This window comes from Homo sapiens, chromosome 6 (genome assembly GCF_000001405.40).
Source record: "Homo sapiens chromosome 6, GRCh38.p14 Primary Assembly".
NCBI classification, from domain to species: Eukaryota; Metazoa; Chordata; class Mammalia; order Primates; family Hominidae; genus Homo; species Homo sapiens.
In genome coordinates, this window is record NC_000006.12 from 31,982,054 (window position 1) to 32,005,177 (window position 23,124).

At 52.5% G+C, this 23,124-nt stretch overlaps 1 protein-coding gene across 2 annotated transcripts; it reads left to right on the top strand.

Annotated features, from left to right (window-relative positions):
- C4A (complement C4A (Chido/Rodgers blood group)) lies at window positions 4-20,628 on the top strand. Of its 2 annotated transcripts, NM_007293.3 has the most exons (41): window positions 4-119; window positions 252-450; window positions 665-866; window positions 1,076-1,146; window positions 1,225-1,313; window positions 1,532-1,614; window positions 1,785-1,881; window positions 2,020-2,125; window positions 2,223-2,355; window positions 9,139-9,254; window positions 9,354-9,533; window positions 9,679-9,861; window positions 9,994-10,179; window positions 10,333-10,491; window positions 10,743-10,869; window positions 11,037-11,111; window positions 11,372-11,569; window positions 11,661-11,772; window positions 11,863-11,933; window positions 12,192-12,331; window positions 12,445-12,654; window positions 12,899-12,950; window positions 13,052-13,141; window positions 13,277-13,486; window positions 13,666-13,741; window positions 13,902-14,058; window positions 14,154-14,270; window positions 14,376-14,547; window positions 14,776-15,008; window positions 15,091-15,258; window positions 15,652-15,711; window positions 16,761-16,854; window positions 16,952-17,138; window positions 17,253-17,343; window positions 17,434-17,508; window positions 19,000-19,102; window positions 19,268-19,357; window positions 19,443-19,541; window positions 19,724-19,807; window positions 20,070-20,202; window positions 20,346-20,628. In NM_007293.3, exons 1-41 carry the CDS (start codon window positions 55-57, stop codon window positions 20,485-20,487), a joined length of 5,235 nt encoding a protein of 1,744 aa, NP_009224.2. In that variant the 5' UTR covers window positions 4-54; the 3' UTR covers window positions 20,488-20,628. The 2 variants fall into 2 exon arrangements, with proteins under 2 accessions (NP_009224.2, NP_001239133.1); NM_001252204.2 differs by lacking the exon at window positions 17,253-17,343 and having other exon boundaries at window positions 16,952-17,091.

Below are 23,124 nucleotides of genomic sequence, written 5' to 3' on the forward strand. Positions count from 1 at the left end.
GCCAGAAGGTAGCAGACAGACAGACGGATCTAACCTCTCTTGGATCCTCCAGCCATGAGGCTGCTCTGGGGGCTGATCTGGGCATCCAGCTTCTTCACCTTATCTCTGCAGAAGCCCAGGTCCTGGAGGCGGGATGCTGGGTGCTTGGATTGGGGCAGGGCTGGCATCGGGACCCGATTCAGGAGTGAGGGAGAGCAGGGGTGGAGGTGTCAGAGCGAAGTCTGACTGCTGATCCTGTCTGTTCTCCCCAGGTTGCTCTTGTTCTCTCCTTCTGTGGTTCATCTGGGGGTCCCCCTATCGGTGGGGGTGCAGCTCCAGGATGTGCCCCGAGGACAGGTAGTGAAAGGATCAGTGTTCCTGAGAAACCCATCTCGTAATAATGTCCCCTGCTCCCCAAAGGTGGACTTCACCCTTAGCTCAGAAAGAGACTTCGCACTCCTCAGTCTCCAGGTAACCAGACCCCATGCCCTCCTGCTGCTTGTGGGGGCCTCCTGCCCTGTTCCCATCTGTCTTGTAAGTGTCATCATCTTCCCACTGGCCTCCTCCCCTCCTGTCTTCCCACCCTGGCATTCTCCTTCCACGTTTCTCCCTTGGTCTCTGTCCTTTTTGGTCAGCTGTCTCTTGCTCTGTGACCCGCTCCCTCTCCCTCTCCCTCTCCTGACAGGTGCCCTTGAAAGATGCGAAGAGCTGTGGCCTCCATCAACTCCTCAGAGGCCCTGAGGTCCAGCTGGTGGCCCATTCGCCATGGCTAAAGGACTCTCTGTCCAGAACGACAAACATCCAGGGTATCAACCTGCTCTTCTCCTCTCGCCGGGGGCACCTCTTTTTGCAGACGGACCAGCCCATTTACAACCCTGGCCAGCGGGGTGAGTCTCAGCCCCAGGGCCTCAACCTTTAACCCCCTCCGAGCCCTCTCAGGATGAGTTTGGTGCCCCCTAAGTGAGATAACCTGAAAGAAAGTGCCACACAGAAGGGGTGCTTAGGAAACATTTGTCCCCTGCTCCCTCTGTGGAGTTTGACCCACCCTCCCCTTGCACATGGACCCCTGCTCACCTCTCTCCTCCTCCACTCCCAGTTCGGTACCGGGTCTTTGCTCTGGATCAGAAGATGCGCCCGAGCACTGACACCATCACAGTCATGGTGGAGGTGAGTCCCCGACCTCTGGCCTTCCTGATCCTGGCCACTGATGTGACCTCCTGCCTGTGAGCACTTCTCCCCTTGCAGAACTCTCACGGCCTCCGCGTGCGGAAGAAGGAGGTGTACATGCCCTCGTCCATCTTCCAGGATGACTTTGTGATCCCAGACATCTCAGAGTGAGCGCTCCCAATGTGGGGGCTGCCCCCAAGCTACACCACCCCAATTCCTGTTAGGCTCTCCACCTCCCACACAGAGGCACGTCCCCAGATGCCCTGACCCTCAGCCTCCTGAGCCTCTGGTTAACCCCCACAGTCCTCTTCCCAGGGAAGCAGGCTGCTGGCTCTCCGTGCCCCACTGTACAGATGGGCTGAGCCCCTTCCTTGTCCATTCTCAGGCCAGGGACCTGGAAGATCTCAGCCCGATTCTCAGATGGCCTGGAATCCAACAGCAGCACCCAGTTTGAGGTGAAGAAATATGGTGAGAGCTGGAAACTGGAGGGACAGGCAGCTGCTTTCCTGAAGGAAATAAGGGTGGAAGGAGAGGTACTGGGAGCAGCTCAGGGCAGGGAGATATGGGTGCCACAGCCCTGAGCAGAGGGGAGTCTTTGAGCTGGAGTCTGACCTGCCTATCCCTTCACCCTGGGTCAGTCCTTCCCAACTTTGAGGTGAAGATCACCCCTGGAAAGCCCTACATCCTGACGGTGCCAGGCCATCTTGATGAAATGCAGTTAGACATCCAGGCCAGGTAATACCTCCCTCCCCACCTCTGCCCACCAGCACCGGGTCCTGCTCCCTACTCAGTATGAATGGGCTCCTGCTTCCCTGCCCTCGGGCCATTATTCCCCCCAGCCCTTGGCCCACCCTCTTCTCTCTGCCACGACAGGTACATCTATGGGAAGCCAGTGCAGGGGGTGGCATATGTGCGCTTTGGGCTCCTAGATGAGGATGGTAAGAAGACTTTCTTTCGGGGGCTGGAGAGTCAGACCAAGGTAGGAAGGAGAATAGGGGCTGGGGAGGGGAAGGGGCAAGGGAGGTGAGGTGGGAGACTCAGTCTCACCCTATGTCCTGTTTCTTTCTATGCCCCAGCTGGTGAATGGACAGAGCCACATTTCCCTCTCAAAGGCAGAGTTCCAGGACGCCCTGGAGAAGCTGAATATGGGCATTACTGACCTCCAGGGGCTGCGCCTCTACGTTGCTGCAGCCATCATTGAGTCTCCAGGTGGGTGACTTTCCCTTATTGTAACCCCAGACCCTTGCCTCTGACCTCTGAGCTAACCCTCTGTCCTCCGGCACCAACACCACCCCACTTCTCACATCTCATCTCAGACTCAAAACCAGGAAACACCCAGGAGACCTGGTTTCTCTCCAACTCTGTCTCTGTGACTCGGCCCTTTTCCCTGGCTGAGTTTATTTATTTCTTTGCTCGTTCTGCTCATTCCTTCACTCCTCCAGTGGACATGTGTTGTTCAATGCCCCGTGCTAGGCCTCAGCATGCACAGACATGTTGGGGACCAGCCTCAACGCCACCCGTAGGGTTCCTGAAGTCCATTGGTGACACAGGAATGAGAAGAGACAGGTTAAGAGTTCATAAAGAGTGGGGGCCAGGGGGCCAATTGCAAAATGGAGGCTGCAAAAGGCTCAGAGCTCTGGTCTCCACACTATTTTTTGAGTACAGTCACTCAGATCTAAGAAGCAGATGTTCAGGGAGAAACAGTGAAAGGGAGGCAGTGGGTCATAGGCGTAATCTATAGCAATAGAGTTTTAAATGAATCTCCTTTGTGCTCAAACAGCATGTCTTTAAATTATCGGAGAGTAGCTGGTGGAAGTGGGCTTAGCTAGAAGACTGCATGTCTGTCCAATGCTTCAAAGGAGGGTCTTTCTCCTTGAACAGAGTGTTTACAGATAAGACAGGGGGTCTCACTCTGAGCATGGGAACATGATGGCAATTAGGAGGCTTTTCTTCTCAGAGGCCTCTTGTGGCTTTCCACAACTTATTGTCTCATATTTTTATGGACAGTTTATACAGGCACCCCACAAGTCCTTTTCCCAACATGCCCCCCTCCCTTTTTTTTTTTTTAACCGCTATTGCTATTATGGCTTATTTGTGGTGTTTGGTCTGTTTTCAGAAGTGTCTTTTGCATCTGTAGACTAAAAGTAAACAGCATAAACAGATACACATTAAAGTAAAATTTGTAATAGTTGATCCTTTAATGGTCTTAATCTGTTTAAGAGGATTTATGTTTGAAAGTCCGTCAGTAGCTCCAATGAGAATGTCAGTCTCAGGCAGGAGGGTTAAATGAGCCTGAGATGCTTTAAAAACCTGTTTTTTTAAAATTTGGTTATATTTAATGTTAAATTTTTATTTTTTTCTTTTAGATGATGTCTAACTTTTTAAAAATGATGTTTAGTAGTATTATACGAATGGGGAGTTATGTAGAAATTGGAAGTATTTCAATTACATTGTACTTCTAATTGATGTTTTAAGTTTATTGTACGATCTTCCATTTAAATAACAGTCTGTCTAAGATCATTTGTTTGATTTGTCAATTGTTGGTCTATTTGGGTCTGAGAATTCCACAATTTTGAGGAATTTTTTGTTAACTATTTATATATTTTGTAGTTTGAACAGAGGAGTGTAAAGCAATTCCAGCAGCCGCAGCAGTAGCTGTGACTGCAATAAGGCCCATAAGACTGTTATAAGGGTAAAAATAAATCTCTTTGTTTTGGTAAACACTTTTTTTTAAAACATTTTTGTGACAATATGAATGGAAGGAGAGGCTTTCTAAGGTCTATTGAGGGAAACCAGTATCCAAACTCCTTTCTTAGTTTTTATCAGTAACACAGATGTTTTTACACCGAACGTGGAATTAATACAGGTGAAAAGGTGACAGTTTTGACAAGTAATAGTTTGAGAATTAGGTCGAATGTCAATATTTTTGACCATTAACATAAAAGGAGGGTTGACACAACTCTGAATGGGCACTGTTTTGTTGGAAGAAAACTGATACGCAAATTGAAGTTTTTAACCTTTTTTTTTTAAAGATAATATATTTTTTTCTAAACTTAAATATGAGATTGGGCCATTATTAACTTTCATAATTTGGAGTGTTTAGGGCCTATTATTGGATTAATTATTTTGGGATGTGGGCCAGCTGTACTAAAATTGGTCCAAATTATGGGAAAATGAGCACGTTTTTCAGTGTAAGTAGTGTTACCTTTTTGATAGTATAGTTTCTGTTTTAGTTTTGTCTTGTATTTATTATTTTGATGGGTACAATTAACTGTAAAGGTCCCCTCAGGGGACCAATTAATGACAATTTCATAGGAATTATTTTGTAGTACCATAGTGTGATCAGAGATGTAATTTTTTTTAATTAATATTTTTAAATTATTTGACCATTGTTAAGGTTGTTGGCACCTCTTTTTTGGGGGCTTAAACTGTTAATTGAATTGAACTCTGTGAATGATCCGGGCTCCATCCAGAAAATAAATGATAGGATACTGGTCTTTGATTATGACCTGGAATTTTAACTAGTCAATGTTGTCGGTAGCCTTTTAGGCAACCGATAGTTGGCCTTATGTAAAGAGGGGGGAACTGATAACCTATGGACACATTTATTAACTTTTTTTTTTTTCCTTTGGGTGAGAGGGCCCATGAGTATTTGTAGGCTTAGGGATCCAAACGCTATTATTAACATAAACTTCAACTGGGGGTTTTAACCATGTGACAGGCCTAATTAAAGGCAGGAATGGGACACATGCCCAATAGGTATAATTTTGGGCTGTTGTAGCCACAGGTTTGTTAGGCGAGGAGGTCACTGTTTTTATTTTGGCTTTGTATTCTAGGATTAGTAAATAACAGAAGACAAACATGAGTATAATTAGTAACTTTTTTTTTTAGTAAAAGAGTGACCTGTAGTGTTACTTGGCATCTTAGTTTACTATATGTTATTAATGAGGAACCCCACTGGGGGTATGTTAATTTATTCTAGCTAAGCAGTTATGTTATTAGAAGCTGAGAAGGGGGTGTTTGTTAAAGTAACAGGGCAGAAGAAAGGCGGATTTAAGATACGAGCTTAATACAGTGTAGCAGGTATAGGTAGTAGGCAAAGTGAGAGAATTAAAAATGAATAAATTATTTGGCTTAGACTTTTGTTTTTTTAGTATAATGTCTGAGGCCTGTGTTGTTTGTGGAAGTCGCATTGTTGAGGCTGTAGTTCCTGTAGGGTCTTTTTTAGGCTGGTTCAAATGTTTTTTTATTTTTTAATTTTTTATCCTTTGATGAGGATGTAGTCTTTAGGCTGGTACTGGAAATTTTAGGAGTGGCGTCTGTGTTAAGAGACTTTTTACAATTTTTAAAGAGCAGGTTAGTGTTTTAAGAAAAACTTGTGTTTTATTTTAATGTTTAGTTTATAGAAAACTGGATGATATCTTTTTAACTTTAGTAAATACGTTTACACACGGAATTTTTTACAATTATCATTTTAAAACTTGTTTAGATCTTTAAAACAAAATTAAACAACCTTTTTTGTATAAATTTTTTATAACTTTTTTTATGACTTTTACAGACAATTTTTAACATGTCTTAACTTTTTATGTTTTATAATTTTTTTACTAAAGGTACATTTTTATAACTTTTTAAATTTTTTTACTTTTTTGTATTTTTTTGATTTTTGTCTTAGTCTTTTTTTTACTTTTATTTTTTTAAATGTGTAATAATTAGATGAGTGTTGGTAACAATGGATGTATGTACATATTTTAGTTTTTAAAATTTAGGGATGTGTTTAACATCTGTTTGCCAGAACTGACTAGGTTCCAATTCTTTACGGTTAACACCTATTGAAGGAGGGTATGTGCCTGTGAGCTGGTAATCTGGGCATTGTGGGATAATTTGTTTAGCCAGCCTCTGTGTAAGTTGAAATTATTTAGATAAGTTTCTCCAATTTTGGTGGAATAATCGATGTGATTGGGTGGCTTGGTCAAGCAGTGATGTCATAACCTGAAGGTCTGCTTGATTATTGCCGTAAGCCAATGGGCCAGGCAGAGAGCTGTGGGCTCGAATGTGTGTAATAAAAGTAGGATGTGTACCTTGGTCTAGTAATTGTTGAAGTTGAAGAAAAAGACCACACAGAGTGGGCTCCAGAGCAAACTTAAGGCTGTAATAGTTTTTAAATAAATACACAGAATAACCTTAGCTCTCTGAATGTTAGTAAATTCAGATCAAGTGATTGGATTATGTGGTCTCCACCAGACTGTTGCTTTTTCATGTTTACCAGACCCACCAGTAAAAACAGCTATGGCTCCTTCCAAAGGGGCATCACAAGTAATTTTTGGAAGAACCTATGTAGTTAATTTTAAGAATTGAAAAGTTTTTAGGATAATGATTATTAATACATCCAACAAATTTTGTTAAATTAATCTGTCATGTAACTGAGTTAATAAATGCCTGTTTAACCTGATTTTTATTTATTGGAACTATAATTTTTATTGGGCTCAGTGCCACAAAATTTAATAATTCATATATGAGCCTGTCCAATTAGAATTGCCATCTGATTTAAGTATACTGTAAGTGCTTTTATGGTATTATGTGGCAAAAAGGACCATTTAACTAAATCATCATTTTGAACAATAACCCCCATTATTGTGTGGTTAGTGTGAAGTAGGGAACACAATGAATTATAAAGGCAAGTCTGAGTCAATCCTACTGACCTGGGCTTGCTGAATTTTGTTTTCAATTACTGATAACTCTTTCATGGCCTCGGGTGTTAGTTCTCTGTTACTGCGTAAGTTGGTATTTCCCCTCAATATTGAGAAGAGATTAGACATAGCATAAGTAGGAATTGCTAAATTGGGCCAAATCCAATTAATATCTTCTAACAATTTTTGAAAATTATTTAAGGTTTTGAAAGAATCTCTTCTAATTTGAACCTTTTGAGGCTTAATGGCTCTATCCTGTACTTGTATTTTCAAATACTGAAAAGGAGTGGTTGTTTGAATTTTGTCAGGTGCTATAAGTAATTCAGCATTTGTAATTGTCTTTTGCAAAGATTAATAATATTGAATAAGTTGGTCTCTACTTTTTGCTGCACAAATCTGGAAACTGATCTCTAACAGGCTGGATAGTTCTGCCTACAAAAGTTTGACAAACTGTGGGACTATTTAACATACCCTGGGGCAAAACTTTCCAATGATATTTGGCTGCAGGTTTTTTGTTATTAACGGCAGGAATGGTAAAGGCAAATTTTTTGAAATCTGCCTCTGCTAAAGGAATTGTAAAAAAGCAGTCTTTTAAATCTATAATAACAAGCGGTCAGTCTTTAGGGAGCACAGTGGGGGATGGGAGCCCAGGTTGTAAGGCTCCCATCGGTTGAATTACAGCGTTGACGCCATCTACCGGACTTTTTCTTAATTACAAATACTGGGGAATTCCAAGGAGAGAAAGTGGGTGAAATATATCCTTTTTTTAGTAGTTTATTTTATAAAGCACCCCCAACTTTTCCTTAGGGAGCGGCCACTGTTCAACCCAGACGGGGCGCCGGGTCATCCATTTTAAGGGAAATTGCTCCTTCACTGTAATAACTGTAGGGTGAACCTGAATTGCCCCATCTCCATAATGAACTGTGGGTCGGGCAATAATGGGCACGGTGAGCCAAGTCTCGGGCTCCCTCCCCCTGCACCCACTCGGCTGAGGAGGAGGTGGCCATTCTGGACATTTCTCTACAGGAACCGTGGGCTGAACAATTTTTTGAGTAGGTTTAGGGAGACTGGGGAGATTGGCATAAATCATCTTCAGACTCTCCTTTTTGTTAGTACTCGGTAGAGGTGGTTCAGAGTTCTGATTATCAAACTCCTCTCTCTCCTCCTCTGACTCAGCCTCATTATCTGTCTGAAAAGGCTCCAGTGCTGCATGCACCAATGACCAAAGCGACCAAACAGGCAAAGGAATTTCCTTTCCTTCTCTATATGCTCTTTTAAGGTCCTTTCCAACTCCTTCTTAATGTTTTAATTTCAAAGTTTCCTGTTTTGGGAACCAAGGGCAAAATTGTTCCATAGCATGAAACAAATCCATAAGATTTTCCGTATCAACTTTTACCCCACCATGCATGCTTGAAGAGCTGCCGTAGGAAGCTCAAATACGTGGTGTACTTACTTTCAGTTTTTCCCATTGTGTCCCTAGCTTTCTCTGGGCGCCCCGCTTACCTGTAGAGGTTAAAACTTTTATGTCCTTGGGAGTCCTTTGTTCGTTGGTCCTCTGTTTCACATGCTTGAGCGTTTCCTCACCAGATTCTTTTGGGCCCCACGTTGGGCGCCAGAATGTTGGGGACCAGCCTCAACACCACCTGTAGGGTACCTGAAGTCTGGTGGTGACAAAGGAATGAGAAGAGACAGGTTAAGAGTTCATAAAGAGTGGAGGCCAGGGGGCCAATTGCAAAATGGAGGCTGCAAAAGGCTCAGAGCTCTGGTCTCCACACTATTTATTGAGTACAATAACTTAGATCTAAGAAGCAGATGTTCAGGGCAAAACAGTGAAAGGGTAGCAGTGCGTCACAGGCATAATCTACAGCAGAAGCGCTTTAAATGAATCTCCTTTGTGCTCAAACAGCATATCTTTAACTTATCGGAGAGTAGCTAGTGGGAGTGGGCTTAACTAGGAGCCTGCACGTCTGTCCACATTCCAATGCTTCAAAGGAGGGTCTTTCTCCTTGAATACAGTGTTTACAGATAAGAGAGAGCAGGTCTCGCTCTGAGCATGGCAATTAGGAGGCTTTTCTCCTCAGAGGCCTCTTGTGGCTTTCCACAACTTATTGTCCCATATTTTTATGGCCAGTTTATACAGGCACCCCACAAGTCCTTTTCCCAACACAGACAGGAATACGGCAGCCTGTGCCCTGGGAGCTCACTGTCTTGTGGGAGGGAACCACTCAAGCCACTCCCCACTTGTCCTCCTGTCCCTCTCTTCTTGGGCTCTGTCCCCCACCTCTCTCTGTCCTTTGTCTTGCAGGTGGGGAGATGGAGGAGGCAGAGCTCACATCCTGGTATTTTGTGTCATCTCCCTTCTCCTTGGATCTTAGCAAGACCAAGCGACACCTTGTGCCTGGGGCCCCCTTCCTGCTGCAGGTTTCTTCCAGAGGGGAAGGATGAGTAGGGAGGATGTGGTAGTTAGGAGGGCTCAGGGTCTGACCACTCTCTTTTGCCTGCCCTCCTTTACCTGCCTAGGCCTTGGTCCGTGAGATGTCAGGCTCCCCAGCTTCTGGCATTCCTGTCAAAGTTTCTGCCACGGTGTCTTCTCCTGGGTCTGTTCCTGAAGTCCAGGACATTCAGCAAAACACAGACGGGAGCGGCCAAGTCAGCATTCCAATAATTATCCCTCAGACCATCTCAGAGCTGCAGCTCTCAGTAGGACTCCTCGGACCCCTGGGAGATGGTGGGGGAAGGGGAGGAGGGTGAGCTGGGGTCCCAAGGATCCATGGCCTGACTTGGGGGGAAGGTGGGGTACTTGGCTCTGAGCTACTACCCTATTCGCACCTGACCCCCTCTCCAGGTATCTGCAGGCTCCCCACATCCAGCGATAGCCAGGCTCACTGTGGCAGCCCCACCTTCAGGAGGCCCCGGGTTTCTGTCTATTGAGCGGCCGGATTCTCGACCTCCTCGTGTTGGGGACACTCTGAACCTGAACTTGCGAGCCGTGGGCAGTGGGGCCACCTTTTCTCATTACTACTACATGGTGTGCATGAGCTGGGGAGTCACGGAGGGCTGGGGTGCAGGGAAGAGCCCTCTGGGTGGGGCTGGGGGGGTTCAAGGCTGAGGCTGTCCCATGAAGAGGCAACCACTCTTGTCCCTCCCATTCTTGGCCCAGATCCTATCCCGAGGGCAGATCGTGTTCATGAATCGAGAGCCCAAGAGGACCCTGACCTCGGTCTCGGTGTTTGTGGACCATCACCTGGCACCCTCCTTCTACTTTGTGGCCTTCTACTACCATGGAGACCACCCAGTGGCCAACTCCCTGCGAGTGGATGTCCAGGCTGGGGCCTGCGAGGGCAAGGTGACCGGGGTCAGGAGAGATGGCACTTGTGCCGAGGGGGTTGAGGACAGGGTGATTGCCAACAGGGCATGGATTTAGCTTGGGGGCAGTGAGGATACCGGGACTGAAGGAAGCTCTCCCACTCTGACCGCCCCCACCTGCCGCCCCTGCCAGCTGGAGCTCAGCGTGGACGGTGCCAAGCAGTACCGGAACGGGGAGTCCGTGAAGCTCCACTTAGAAACCGACTCCCTAGCCCTGGTGGCGCTGGGAGCCTTGGACACAGCTCTGTATGCTGCAGGCAGCAAGTCCCACAAGCCCCTCAACATGGGCAAGGTTTGTCCAGACCCTCTCCACAGCTCTCTCACCCCTCCATGGCTCATCCCCCTGCTTCCCTGAGCCTTGGGCGCAGCCCCTGGATCCCACTGAGGCTCCCCACAGTCTCTTCCCCACTTGGCCCTGTGGTCTCCATCTCCTGGCTCTGTATCCTTTCCTATCCCCCCATGTGCTGCCCTCTCACCTGTGCCGAGTGCTCAGTCCTGCCCCTCAGCCACACTTGGCTCCTAGCATTCCTGCCTTTCTTGCAGGTCTTTGAAGCTATGAACAGCTATGACCTCGGCTGTGGTCCTGGGGGTGGGGACAGTGCCCTTCAGGTGTTCCAGGCAGCGGGCCTGGCCTTTTCTGATGGAGACCAGTGGACCTTATCCAGAAAGAGTGAGAACAGAGAAGGAAGGGGAGTGGGTGGCGGGAAGATAAGGAAGGAGGAAGGGCCTGAGGGGACCAGCTGGAAGAGTCCGGGCAGGAAGGGCTGGGCAGGGGAAGGGGAGGAGGGGAGGAGGCCGAGTGCCTGACGGCTGGACTGCAGCCTTTCTCTCTACCAGGACTAAGCTGTCCCAAGGAGAAGACAACCCGGAAAAAGAGAAACGTGAACTTCCAAAAGGCGATTAATGAGAAATGTGAGTTGCGGGTGCCTAGGCAGTAGCTTGGGCTCTCCACCTGGGATCCGGGTTGGGGGTCTGCCTCTCTGCCCCTCGGCTCCTTGCTGAACCCACGTGTGGTATTTGGGGCCAGAGATCCGAATTCCGGGATTACGAGTGGAAGGTGGGCAGCTCTCTCCAGCAGCCTCTCTTATGTTGCTGGTCTCAAGGGGTCGGGGCGGGGGCTGAGGTGTATGTCCTTTTTGTCCTCTCATGCTCACCCCCACCTGGCCCTGCAGTGGGTCAGTATGCTTCCCCGACAGCCAAGCGCTGCTGCCAGGATGGGGTGACACGTCTGCCCATGATGCGTTCCTGCGAGCAGCGGGCAGCCCGCGTGCAGCAGCCGGACTGCCGGGAGCCCTTCCTGTCCTGCTGCCAATTTGCTGAGAGTCTGCGCAAGAAGAGCAGGGACAAGGGCCAGGCGGGCCTCCAACGAGGTGAGGGGCTGGGTGGGGCTAGGGCACAGGTGGCGGCGCTTGGAAAGGCAGAACGGTCCCCTCCTCACTCCCGTCCACCGTGGTCCCCCAGCCCTGGAGATCCTGCAGGAGGAGGACCTGATTGATGAGGATGACATTCCCGTGCGCAGCTTCTTCCCAGAGAACTGGCTCTGGAGAGTGGAAACAGTGGACCGCTTTCAAATGTGAGAGTGTGTGCCGGCCCGGCCTTTTCTCTGTGCTGTGTCTCGGGGCCAGCCGGGGTAGACGGGCCTTCTCTGCCTTTCCCTACACAGATTGACACTGTGGCTCCCCGACTCTCTGACCACGTGGGAGATCCATGGCCTGAGCCTGTCCAAAACCAAAGGTGATGTCACCCTGTCTGGGCCTCAGGTGACCCTGCTTCCATTTCCCTGTACCCCAGCTCCCTGTTCCCTTTGCTCTTAGTGTAGGAAGAGGGTCCAGTGATCTGGGGAGGTCTGTGCCAGCGTGCAGCTGGCGTGGGCCAGAGGGCAGAGGCGGACTGAGACAGAGCTGGGTCACCCCCACCCCTCCCTCCTGTGGCCCTGAAGCTTTGATGGCCCCTCTGATCTCTGCCCCTGTGCCCACGCTTCCTTTCCCTCAGGCCTATGTGTGGCCACCCCAGTCCAGCTCCGGGTGTTCCGCGAGTTCCACCTGCACCTCCGCCTGCCCATGTCTGTCCGCCGCTTTGAGCAGCTGGAGCTGCGGCCTGTCCTCTATAACTACCTGGATAAAAACCTGACTGTGAGGCCCCATAGGAGCCTGAGCATACAGGAGTTGGGGGAGCCAGGGCCCAGTGAGGGGTGGGGAGGCTAACCGGGCCAGGACTCTGGCCATCCTCGTTTTCCTGCCCTCAGGTGAGCGTCCACGTGTCCCCAGTGGAGGGGCTGTGCCTGGCTGGGGGCGGAGGGCTGGCCCAGCAGGTGCTGGTGCCTGCGGGCTCTGCCCGGCCTGTTGCCTTCTCTGTGGTGCCCACGGCAGCCGCCGCTGTGTCTCTGAAGGTGGTGGCTCGAGGGTCCTTCGAATTCCCTGTGGGAGATGCGGTGTCCAAGGTTCTGCAGATTGAGGTGAATGGAGCACCCCTGAATATAAGTCCCCGGGCCCCCAGCTTTGTCCTCCACCCTCAGCACTCTCTCTGCTGGCCAGGCCAGGGGCCCAACACCCAAACCAATGCCTTGGTCTGTTCCCATCTTCTACAATTCTGATCCAACTCTGTCCCTGGAGTTGAAACTCAAAGTTCTGGGGGAGTCTGCGCTAGCAGGGCAGGCTGTAGTCCTGTGTGACCTCACAACCATGTTTTCCCTGAGACAGAAGGAAGGGGCCATCCATAGAGAGGAGCTGGTCTATGAACTCAACCCCTTGGGTGAGTGACCCTCTACCTCCAGCCATTGGTTTCCTAAGTGGGTACAGGTGGTGGGGGATGTGGACAGCAGGACAGGCTGCCAACTTCCCCCATTTCCCCAGACCACCGAGGCCGGACCTTGGAAATACCTGGCAACTCTGATCCCAATATGATCCCTGATGGGGACTTTAACAGCTACGTCAGGGTTACAGGTGGGAGTGCCCTTTAGTCCCTTCCCAGTGGCCACCTTCGGATTCATGTGGGACTTGTGGATCCCTGCTTGGTCCCACTCCCCGTGAGCCTCTGACACAGAGTCCTCAGACCTCCACCCTCTCCCTCCCATGTAGCCTCAGATCCATTGGACACTTTAGGCTCTGAGGGGGCCTTGTCACCAGGAGGCGTGGCCTCCCTCTTGAGGCTTCCTCGAGGCTGTGGGGAGCAAACCATGATCTACTTGGCTCCGACACTGGCTGCTTCCCGCTACCTGGACAAGACAGAGCAGTGGAGCACACTGCCTCCCGAGACCAAGGACCACGCCGTGGATCTGATCCAGAAAGGTTCTGGGTGCAAGGGCAAGCAGGAGGGGGGCCAGGAAAGGACAGTTACTGGAAGATGGACAGCCCAGGAGGCTACAGAGGGAAAGAAAGGGGGCCCCTGATGAGGATGGGGAGCATGGCCTTGGGCTCAAACAGCAGAAGGGTGAGTGTCACCTGAGCGGCCACCTCTCCTCTCCAAGGCTACATGCGGATCCAGCAGTTTCGGAAGGCGGATGGTTCCTATGCGGCTTGGTTGTCACGGGACAGCAGCACCTGGTGAGCTTGGGAGAGTGGTTCCAGGGTTCTGAGGGGGTCAGGGCTGGGGCAGGGGTGGGACAGAGCTGGTATGATGGGAGGGTGGATAACCAGGCACCTGGGGGCGTGGGCATAATGAGAAGCAAGTCCTTATCCCCAACCCTCCTTTCCTGCCCTCCAGGCTCACAGCCTTTGTGTTGAAGGTCCTGAGTTTGGCCCAGGAGCAGGTAGGAGGCTCGCCTGAGAAACTGCAGGAGACATCTAACTGGCTTCTGTCCCAGCAGCAGGCTGACGGCTCGTTCCAGGACCCCTGTCCAGTGTTAGACAGGAGCATGCAGGTGCGGGCATGCTGGGGCTGGCCCGAGAAGCGCCTGTCGGAGGACTCTCTTTGCCCCTTCCCCCTCCTGTTTGACATCTTTTCTCCCCTTACTAGGGGGGTTTGGTGGGCAATGATGAGACTGTGGCACTCACAGCCTTTGTGACCATCGCCCTTCATCATGGGCTGGCCGTCTTCCAGGATGAGGGTGCAGAGCCATTGAAGCAGAGAGTGGTAAGTTCAGTGGCGTTTCTGCCCTCTGCTGGCCCCCAGCTCTCTCCCTTTTTCCTCAGGAACCCAGGGGTCCAGGCCCAAGACCCTCCTCCCGTTTTCTTCCAGGAAGCCTCCATCTCAAAGGCAAACTCATTTTTGGGGGAGAAAGCAAGTGCTGGGCTCCTGGGTGCCCACGCAGCTGCCATCACGGCCTATGCCCTGACACTGACCAAGGCGCCTGTGGACCTGCTCGGTGTTGCCCACAACAACCTCATGGCAATGGCCCAGGAGACTGGAGGTGAGGGGTGAGGCGCTCCTGGCAGTGAGCCTGAGGCCCAGGGGACCTTAGGATCCCTGAGTGTGCCCAGAGGGAGAGGCTGGATGAAGACTCAGAGGAGGAATGAAGTTATAAGCAGGGGTGGGTTGGGGGAGACTCAGGAGAGCCCAGCAGGGGGTGGCTAAGGGCCAGGGGACCAGGCTCTTCTCCCTGCCTTCCTGTTTACTCGTGGTCTCCCTTCACTTTCAGATAACCTGTACTGGGGCTCAGTCACTGGTTCTCAGAGCAATGCCGTGTCGCCCACCCCGGCTCCTCGCAACCCATCCGACCCCATGCCCCAGGCCCCAGCCCTGTGGATTGAAACCACAGCCTACGCCCTGCTGCACCTCCTGCTTCACGAGGGCAAAGCAGAGATGGCAGACCAGGCTTCGGCCTGGCTCACCCGTCAGGGCAGCTTCCAAGGGGGATTCCGCAGTACCCAAGTAGGGGCCGTCCCCGGGCTCTGGCGGGGGTGGGTAGTCCTCAGACCAAGGGCTTGCTTGAGTCCTGGCTCAACCTCCCTAGGACACGGTGATTGCCCTGGATGCCCTGTCTGCCTACTGGATTGCCTCCCACACCACTGAGGAGAGGGGTCTCAATGTGACTCTCAGCTCCACAGGCCGGAATGGGTTCAAGTCCCACGCGCTGCAGCTGAACAACCGCCAGATTCGCGGCCTGGAGGAGGAGCTGCAGGTGAACCACTCCCTGGTGAACCACTCCCTCGCCTGGGTAGCCAGGACACCTGGGCCTCGTGGCCAGGCCAGAAGCCGTCCCCACCCTCCCACCCGTGGAATCCCCGCAGCACTTCTTCCTGGGGTCTTCGGGGGAAGACTGACTTCCTGGCTGTGTGACCTGGAGCTCTGAGCTTCAGTTTTCTCACTTGTAGAGTAACATACACAGAGTTCACCCTACAGGGTCGTTAGAAGGCTGAAGTGAGATAATTCATGTGCTGGTATAAACTTTGTGGAAATGTGAGGTGGGGAGAGGAGGTGGGGCTGTTTTGAGGAAGGAGATAAGTTATTGGAGCCGCAAAAACAGGTTTGCTTGTGCCCTTCTAACATCGCCTTCCCTTTTCTGTTGCTGAAGTTTTCCTTGGGCAGCAAGATCAATGTGAAGGTGGGAGGAAACAGCAAAGGAACCCTGAAGGTGAGGGCCAGGGAAGGGGTGGGGCCAGGCACTGGTGGAGGAGAGGGTGTGGAGTGAGAGGCCTGTGGGCAGAGGCACATGGTCCGGGGAAGGAGGCAGACACCTCAGGGTTGGTGTCCCGTGCTTCCGTCCTGGGTGTTTTTCCCCCTGCTTGCTTTCGCTTGCTCTCCCCATCTCTGGGTACCTGTTGTTTCCTTTACCCGCCTCAGTGCTGGTGGCTCCGAATCCCACTCCTCAGCCCAGGCCTCTTCCCTGAACCATGGGCCCCACTCGTCCCACTCCCACAGCACCTCAGACGAGGCATGTCCCAAAGCCCTTCTTCATTCTGTGTCTCTTGTCTGGCTGGTGGGAGCCCCTCCCAGCCAGGAGCCCAGCCACTACTCTAGAGGCCGTGTTAGTGGCCCCTCTCCCAAGCCTGTCCTTATGTCCCTAGTGACTCCTCCTCTGCTCCCCTGCTGCCTGTGGCCCTTGGTGCTGCATCCTAGATTCTGTGCTGAGACGGCCTTCTCCCTACCTGGAACTTCTCTCTACCTCCTGTCTCCCCTGTCTGATCCACTGTCCACACGGCAGTGACACTGACCTTCCAAAAGCCCCAGCCAGATCAGCCTTGGGGAAAAGTCACTCCCCGCTGCCCACGGCTCAGATGGCTGGGCCTCTGCCCACCCCTCCGGCCAGACAGCTCTCCTTGTCTACACAGATCCCCTTGCCTTTCCTGTCCTTCCCTGCTTCTTGGCCCACAGGACAAGCTCTTTCTTCTCCTTCAAGCCTTGGCCAGAAGCCTTTCCTGAGCTTTTCAGTCCAGCCTCTTCCCAGCACAGTCTGGAGTGTTGGCCTCTGGGGGCAGGCCCCTGCTTCTTTACCTCTCTGTCTCGCCTGACGCCTGTGGCGAATGTGGTGCCACTCGTGTGTGTGGACTGTGCAGTGACGGGGAGGAAAAGGGGCTGAAGGCCTCAAATCCTGTAGCCCAGGGAGATGCCCTTAGGTATGGCACCAGAGAGGTCTGTGGCCTCACATGTCCCACGTCCTCTCCCTGCCCCTTGCTGAGCCAGGTCCTTCGTACCTACAATGTCCTGGACATGAAGAACACGACCTGCCAGGACCTACAGATAGAAGTGACAGTCAAAGGCCACGTCGAGTACACGAGTGAGTGTGGGGGTTGGGAGGCCTTGGGGCCAGGCAGGGGCTGGCGCAGGGAGCCGGGTGGCCATCCCAGCCCTCCTCACAATGCTTCCCTGTGCAGTGGAAGCAAACGAGGACTATGAGGACTATGAGTACGATGAGCTTCCAGCCAAGGATGACCCAGATGCCCCTCTGCAGCCCGTGACACCCCTGCAGCTGTTTGAGGGTCGGAGGAACCGCCGCAGGAGGGAGGCGCCCAAGGTGGTGGAGGAGCAGGAGTCCAGGGTGCACTACACCGTGTGCATCTGGTGGGCGCCGGGAGCTGCCCTGGGCCAGGGGAGGGAGGGCAGGACCCAGGCTGGGGCTGGGCTTCTGGAGCCCGCGCAGGCAGAACCTGGACGACAGCTCACACGTCTCCACAGGCGGAACGGCAAGGTGGGGCTGTCTGGCATGGCCATCGCGGACGTCACCCTCCTGAGTGGATTCCACGCCCTGCGTGCTGACCTGGAGAAGGTGTGGTCAGCCACCCAGGGCAACCCCCTCTGTCCCAGGTACTGAGCCCTGTCATGTGCAGGGCCTGTGACCAACTCCCCTTTTCCACAGCTGACCTCCCTCTCTGACCGTTACGTGAGTCACTTTGAGACCGAGGGGCCCCACGTCCTGCTGTATTTTGACTCGGTGAGTGGGGAGAGATGAGGCAGGAAGGGACTCGATGGCACCGGGTTTACTGAGTATGCGTTAGGAGGTTTCTCAGGAGACAGCTGTGTCAGCGGCTGGTGCTCTTGAGAACTTGTGATGTCATCAGAGAGAAGGACAAGAATGTGAGCCCGTGAGACACAGCAGAGTAAGGGGCAGACCTGCAGGCGGCAGGGACCGATGCCAGTCAGCAGGGACCCTCAGGGTTTGAGAGGGAGTCTTTCCTAATGCTGGTTTTATTCAGCTTGAGGGGCTGCCTTTGTTTTTTTGTTGAACTTCCTATCTTTTTTTTAATATTAAAGCGTATTTTCCTTTACAAAGTGATGGTGGCCATAGATGATAGTTGTATTTGTCTTTTCACGACCTTATTTGGCTAAAATAGTTATCAACCCTCTTACGGCTCTCAAAACATTTTTATTTATTTATTTAGTAAAGACAGGGTCTCGCTCTGTTGCCCAGGCTGGTCTTGAACTCCCGGCCTCAAGCGATCCTCTGGCCTAGGCCTTTCAAAGTACCGGATTTACAGGCCAGAGCCACCATGCCCGGCCTTCAAAAAAAGTTTTGGAACATTTACTGTAACCTCTGGGAGAAAATGTGAGAAAGGTGTGGTGGCTGTCATTAGCCAGCTGTTTGTAGGTCAGGGAGACCCCTACCCAGTGTGTGCAGAGGGGCCAGCCCCCATCAGCTGGGGAAGCCTGGCTGACACATCTGGGTTGAACACAATAGAAAACACAGAGCCAACAAGATTCCCGGATAGGGAGCTGACGGTGCAGCAGCCTAGCTCAGGAGGGACACTGGCACGGCACCGTGTGGACTGGGCCCGCGTGGGCACGAGGAGGGGTCAGGCCTGGGACCTGAGTCGGGGGGTCAGGCAGGATGACAGAACCTGCAGTTAGGTTGTGGCAAATAAAGGAGGACCCAGTTGTATCCATGACAAAGATGAGGCCGCGAGGAGGGCGAGTGGGTTTGGGGGCAGGCAGAGTGCCTTGGAGAACTTACAGGTCCTGCCACAATCCTAATGCAAGGATGGAGCTGCAAGTTCAGTTTGGGAATCATCAGCCTGGATTGGTTTGGTGGAAGCCAGGGAGTGGTTGAGACCCCCACAGGGGAGCTCTGAGGAAGGAAGTTCCGAAGGAGGGAACGTAAGAAATGACCAGGTCAGAACCAAGGGTGGTCCAGAAGCTAACCCTTAGCTTAGGGACAGTTTCACAGAGAACACGTCCATGATGCAAGACTCTGCTGAGGGCCTGGAGCAGTGAAGACTGGGGCAAGGTCACCCTCTGGGAAGTGAAGTCACCAGAGACCTTGCGGAGCAGCTTTGAGAGTTCTCTGAGTAGGAAGGTAACAGAATGTGAAGGACACTGGAGAGAAGGCCAATAGGAAGCAAACAAAAACAGGCCAAGGAAACCCAGTACAGGGGGCTGCAGGGCCCAGGGAGTGGGTCCCTCATCTCTCCTCCCCACGCTTGGCCAGGTCCCCACCTCCCGGGAGTGCGTGGGCTTTGAGGCTGTGCAGGAAGTGCCGGTGGGGCTGGTGCAGCCGGCCAGCGCAACCCTGTACGACTACTACAACCCCGGTGAGCACTGCAGGACACCCTGAAATTCAGGAGAACTTTGGCATAGGTGCCCTCCTATGGGACAATGGACACCGGGGTAGTGAGGGGGCAGAGAGCCCTGGGGCTCCCTGGGACTGAGGAGGCAGAATGGAGGGGCCTGTGCCCTAACTCCTCTCTGTTCTCCAGAGCGCAGATGTTCTGTGTTTTACGGGGCACCAAGTAAGAGCAGACTCTTGGCCACCTTGTGTTCTGCTGAAGTCTGCCAGTGTGCTGAGGGTGAGACTGAGGGCCTGGGGCGGGGCAGTGGAGGCGGGATGGCCGGGGCCCCCCCCACACTGTCTGATGGGTTCCCCAACTTCAGGGAAGTGCCCTCGCCAGCGTCGCGCCCTGGAGCGGGGTCTGCAGGACGAGGATGGCTACAGGATGAAGTTTGCCTGCTACTACCCCCGTGTGGAGTACGGTCAGTCTTCCCACCGAGGCCCTGGCCTGACCCTCCCTCGGGGACCGGCCGTTTTGGTCTCTCTGGGTGTAGCCTGCTCCTCTTACAGGTCATGCACGCAGCCTGTTTGCTCTGACACCAACTTCCTACCCTCTCAGCCTCAAAGTAACTCACCTTTCCCCCTTCTCCTCACCCCCTCTTAGGCTTCCAGGTTAAGGTTCTCCGAGAAGACAGCAGAGCTGCTTTCCGCCTCTTTGAGACCAAGATCACCCAAGTCCTGCACTTCAGTATGAAGCAAACCGGAGAGGCGGGCAGGGCTGGGGGGAGACAGGGAGGCTGAGGTGTGGCCGAGGACCTGACCATCTGGAAGTGTGAAAATCCCCTTGGGCTGTCAGAAGCCTTGGGCTTGGCCATAAATAGGGAGGCAGTGGCACCTCTCCATGGGGGTGGCGAAGGTGGAATGAGAGGATCTACACAGAGTCCCCAGCCTGGGCTCACCCTGCACCTTCTCTTCCCCTCTGACCACTTTTGCGCACGTCATCCCCGCAGCCAAGGATGTCAAGGCCGCTGCTAATCAGATGCGCAACTTCCTGGTTCGAGCCTCCTGCCGCCTTCGCTTGGAACCTGGGAAAGAATATTTGATCATGGGTCTGGATGGGGCCACCTATGACCTCGAGGGACAGTGAGTCATCTGGTCCCCTCAGTCTCTTGTCCTCCCCATGCCTCGCCACCTAGGCCTTGCCCCTCAGAAGCCAGATGCCTGTGCTCTCCGTTTCCACCTGCCATCCTCCCGAGCCCTGCTGACTGCCCCTTTGCCCCCTGCAGCCCCCAGTACCTGCTGGACTCGAATAGCTGGATCGAGGAGATGCCCTCTGAACGCCTGTGCCGGAGCACCCGCCAGCGGGCAGCCTGTGCCCAGCTCAACGACTTCCTCCAGGAGTATGGCACTCAGGGGTGCCAGGTGTGAGGGCTGCCCTCCCACCTCCGCTGGGAGGAACCTGAACCTGGGAACCATGAAGCTGGAAGCACTGCTGTGTCCGCTTTCATGAACACAGCCTGGGACCAGGGCATATTAAAGGCTTTTGGCAGCAAAGTGTCAGTGTTGGCAGTGAAGTGTCAGTGTGTGTTGCTAGGGCTGAGAGCAGTGCCCCTGCCCGATGCAGTTCTGGGCAGGCCAGGTTGACATAACCTTAGACTCTCTGAGCCCTGATGACCCTTGGGCTGTTCAGCTCTGCTAGAACCTCCCAGATGACCCGCTAGGAGTCTAGTGCTTCACAGGACCACCCCGAGCAGAACTGGGACCCAAGAGCCTGCACCCCAAGGACCAGAGTCCATGCCAAGACCACCCTTCAGCTTCCAAGGCCCTCCACTGCCCGGCTGTCGCCAGTCACCACGGCCTCAGACAGGGCTTGTGCTCAGCTGACACCTGTGACACAGCTCTTCTGCCTCATGAGCTGTTGTCCAGCTACACCTCCCCGACTCTGTCCTCGTGCTGCTGGCGGTTCTGAGGTCTGCAGATTTTAGCTGAGTTCCGGGCTGTTGAAAGCCTGCTGACGCTTGGTTCTGTTATCAGTGGAATGAGGTGACTTTCCCGGAGTTGTGCAATCCTCAGGTCCGGCAGTGTCTTCTTCCAGTTACTGGTTTCAAACAAGCCAAAAGTCTGACTTTGGTGTGTTTGTGAATCCTCTGAGGAAGCCGCTGTTCTCCTGGGGTCTCCCCTTCCCACCGGACCTGCCTAACTTTCCCCCATTTAGTGGCACACCTGGGGTCTTCAGAGATGACTCCGCGTCTGTCCAAAGAAGTTTGGTGAGATCAGTTTCCGTAGAGGTCATGACAGTTCAGCAGCCTGCCATCCAGTCATTCGACAGAAATTCGGGAATCTTTCACTTCATGCCATGCCCTGTGCCAGGTGCCAGAGATACAGCTGCTCACTCCAGGGCTCATCGCTGGGGAGACAGATAAGAGGACGGGCAGTCCCCACCCTCTGTGAAAGATGTGATGTCAGGGAGCAGTGTGGTCCTGTGGGGCATCTAACCAAGTCAGGGGCATTGCCAGGCAGGGACAGGGAAGGCTTCCTGGAGCAGGTGGCCTCCAAGTGGGGCTCTGAAGACTGAGAAGGAGCCAGGAAAAGAGCAGGGGTAGATGAGGGCATCTGGGGCAGAAGGAGAATATACAAAGGCCCAGAGGCCGGGGGCAGGACAGGGTACCTTTGGGGACATTGCATGTAATTGACCACATTCGGAGTTTGGATTTGGAAGTGGTGGAAGAGATGGAGATGGTGAGACAAGTAGTAAGCACGTCAGCCTTCCAGGTGCGCTCCTTTCCGATGAGCACTGTCTTATCCCACGTAACTTTGAGAAGTTTGGGCCTTTCCCACTGTGGCAGAGGTTTCCTGAGGCTCTTGCATACATGGCCCTATGGTTGCTCATCAGATCTTTCTCCCAGTAGCTGCTCAGCATGGTGGTGGCATAAGCCCATTTTCCGGAGCCAGGGATTCAGTTGCAGCAAGACCTGGCCCGGTCTGGGAGGTCAACCATGAAGAAGGCAGTAGCTGTCATTGCCCAACCCCAGAAATCCCAATCCTGTTTTCTCCCTCTCAGTCCTGATCATGGATTCAGCAGCAGCGAACTCGCCAATGTAGTGGGTGGCACAGCCAGGGTCTTGACTCTGGCTCTGCAGTAGCACAGTCTGGAAAAGCTCTGAGGGGAGAGAGACCCCCACTGGTCCGAGGGTCTGGCACAGAGCCAGAAATGGGGGGGAAGGTATGGGGCTGGGTCGCCTCTGACCTCTCAGGTACCATCCAGGAGGCCCTGGCCTCTCACTGAACCCGGCCACTCCTCTTTGGCATGGCCTCTTCCCAAATCCCCAAACTGCCTCCTTACTCACAAAAGTGGTCTCTGAGTGTCAGTCCAGTGGGACCCCCACCCCTTATGGCTTCAGTTCCCCAAATAGGGCTGGACCCTTGATCCTGATCCAGCTGTGGCTATCCAGCCCCTTCCTGGGGACTTTGGACTTTGAGGGGGGGCATGCCCAGTTGTGCTGGGAATCCATACTTTCCCTGGCTGGAGTAGAACCTGTGGACTGTAGTCCTGAGGGCAGTCATGTTCTGCCTGTGCCTGGAAACACAAGAAACTTGACTGCAGAGAGAAGAAAGAGGAGAGAGGAACAGAGCGAGGAAACTGCCCGTCTCCGGGGCTTTTTCTGTTCCCTATCCTTGGCTTTCTAAGACCAGTGGGGTCCCCTCCTCTGCTTCTTTTTCCTGAGTTCTGTGAAATTCCCCAATCCTTACTTTTTGTCTCAAACCAGCTCAAGGTGGGCTGTTTTCCTTTCAACCAAAGAAAGGTGCTCCTGGTGGCTAAAGGTACATATTCGACAGCTAGATTTCCAGGCTGGAATCCTGCCCTCCACAACATGCGAACAATACCCGTGTTGCATATAGAGCATGGCTGTGAAGAGTTGAGTGAGTGCCCACAAAGCACTTAGAGCAGTGTCTGGTACATGCTATTACTCCGCAGCGGGAAACCACTTCCTCCTTTGTCTTCTGGGCACTTTTGTGAGTGAAAGGAGGCACTAATAACAATCACACTGGGATACCTGTATATAC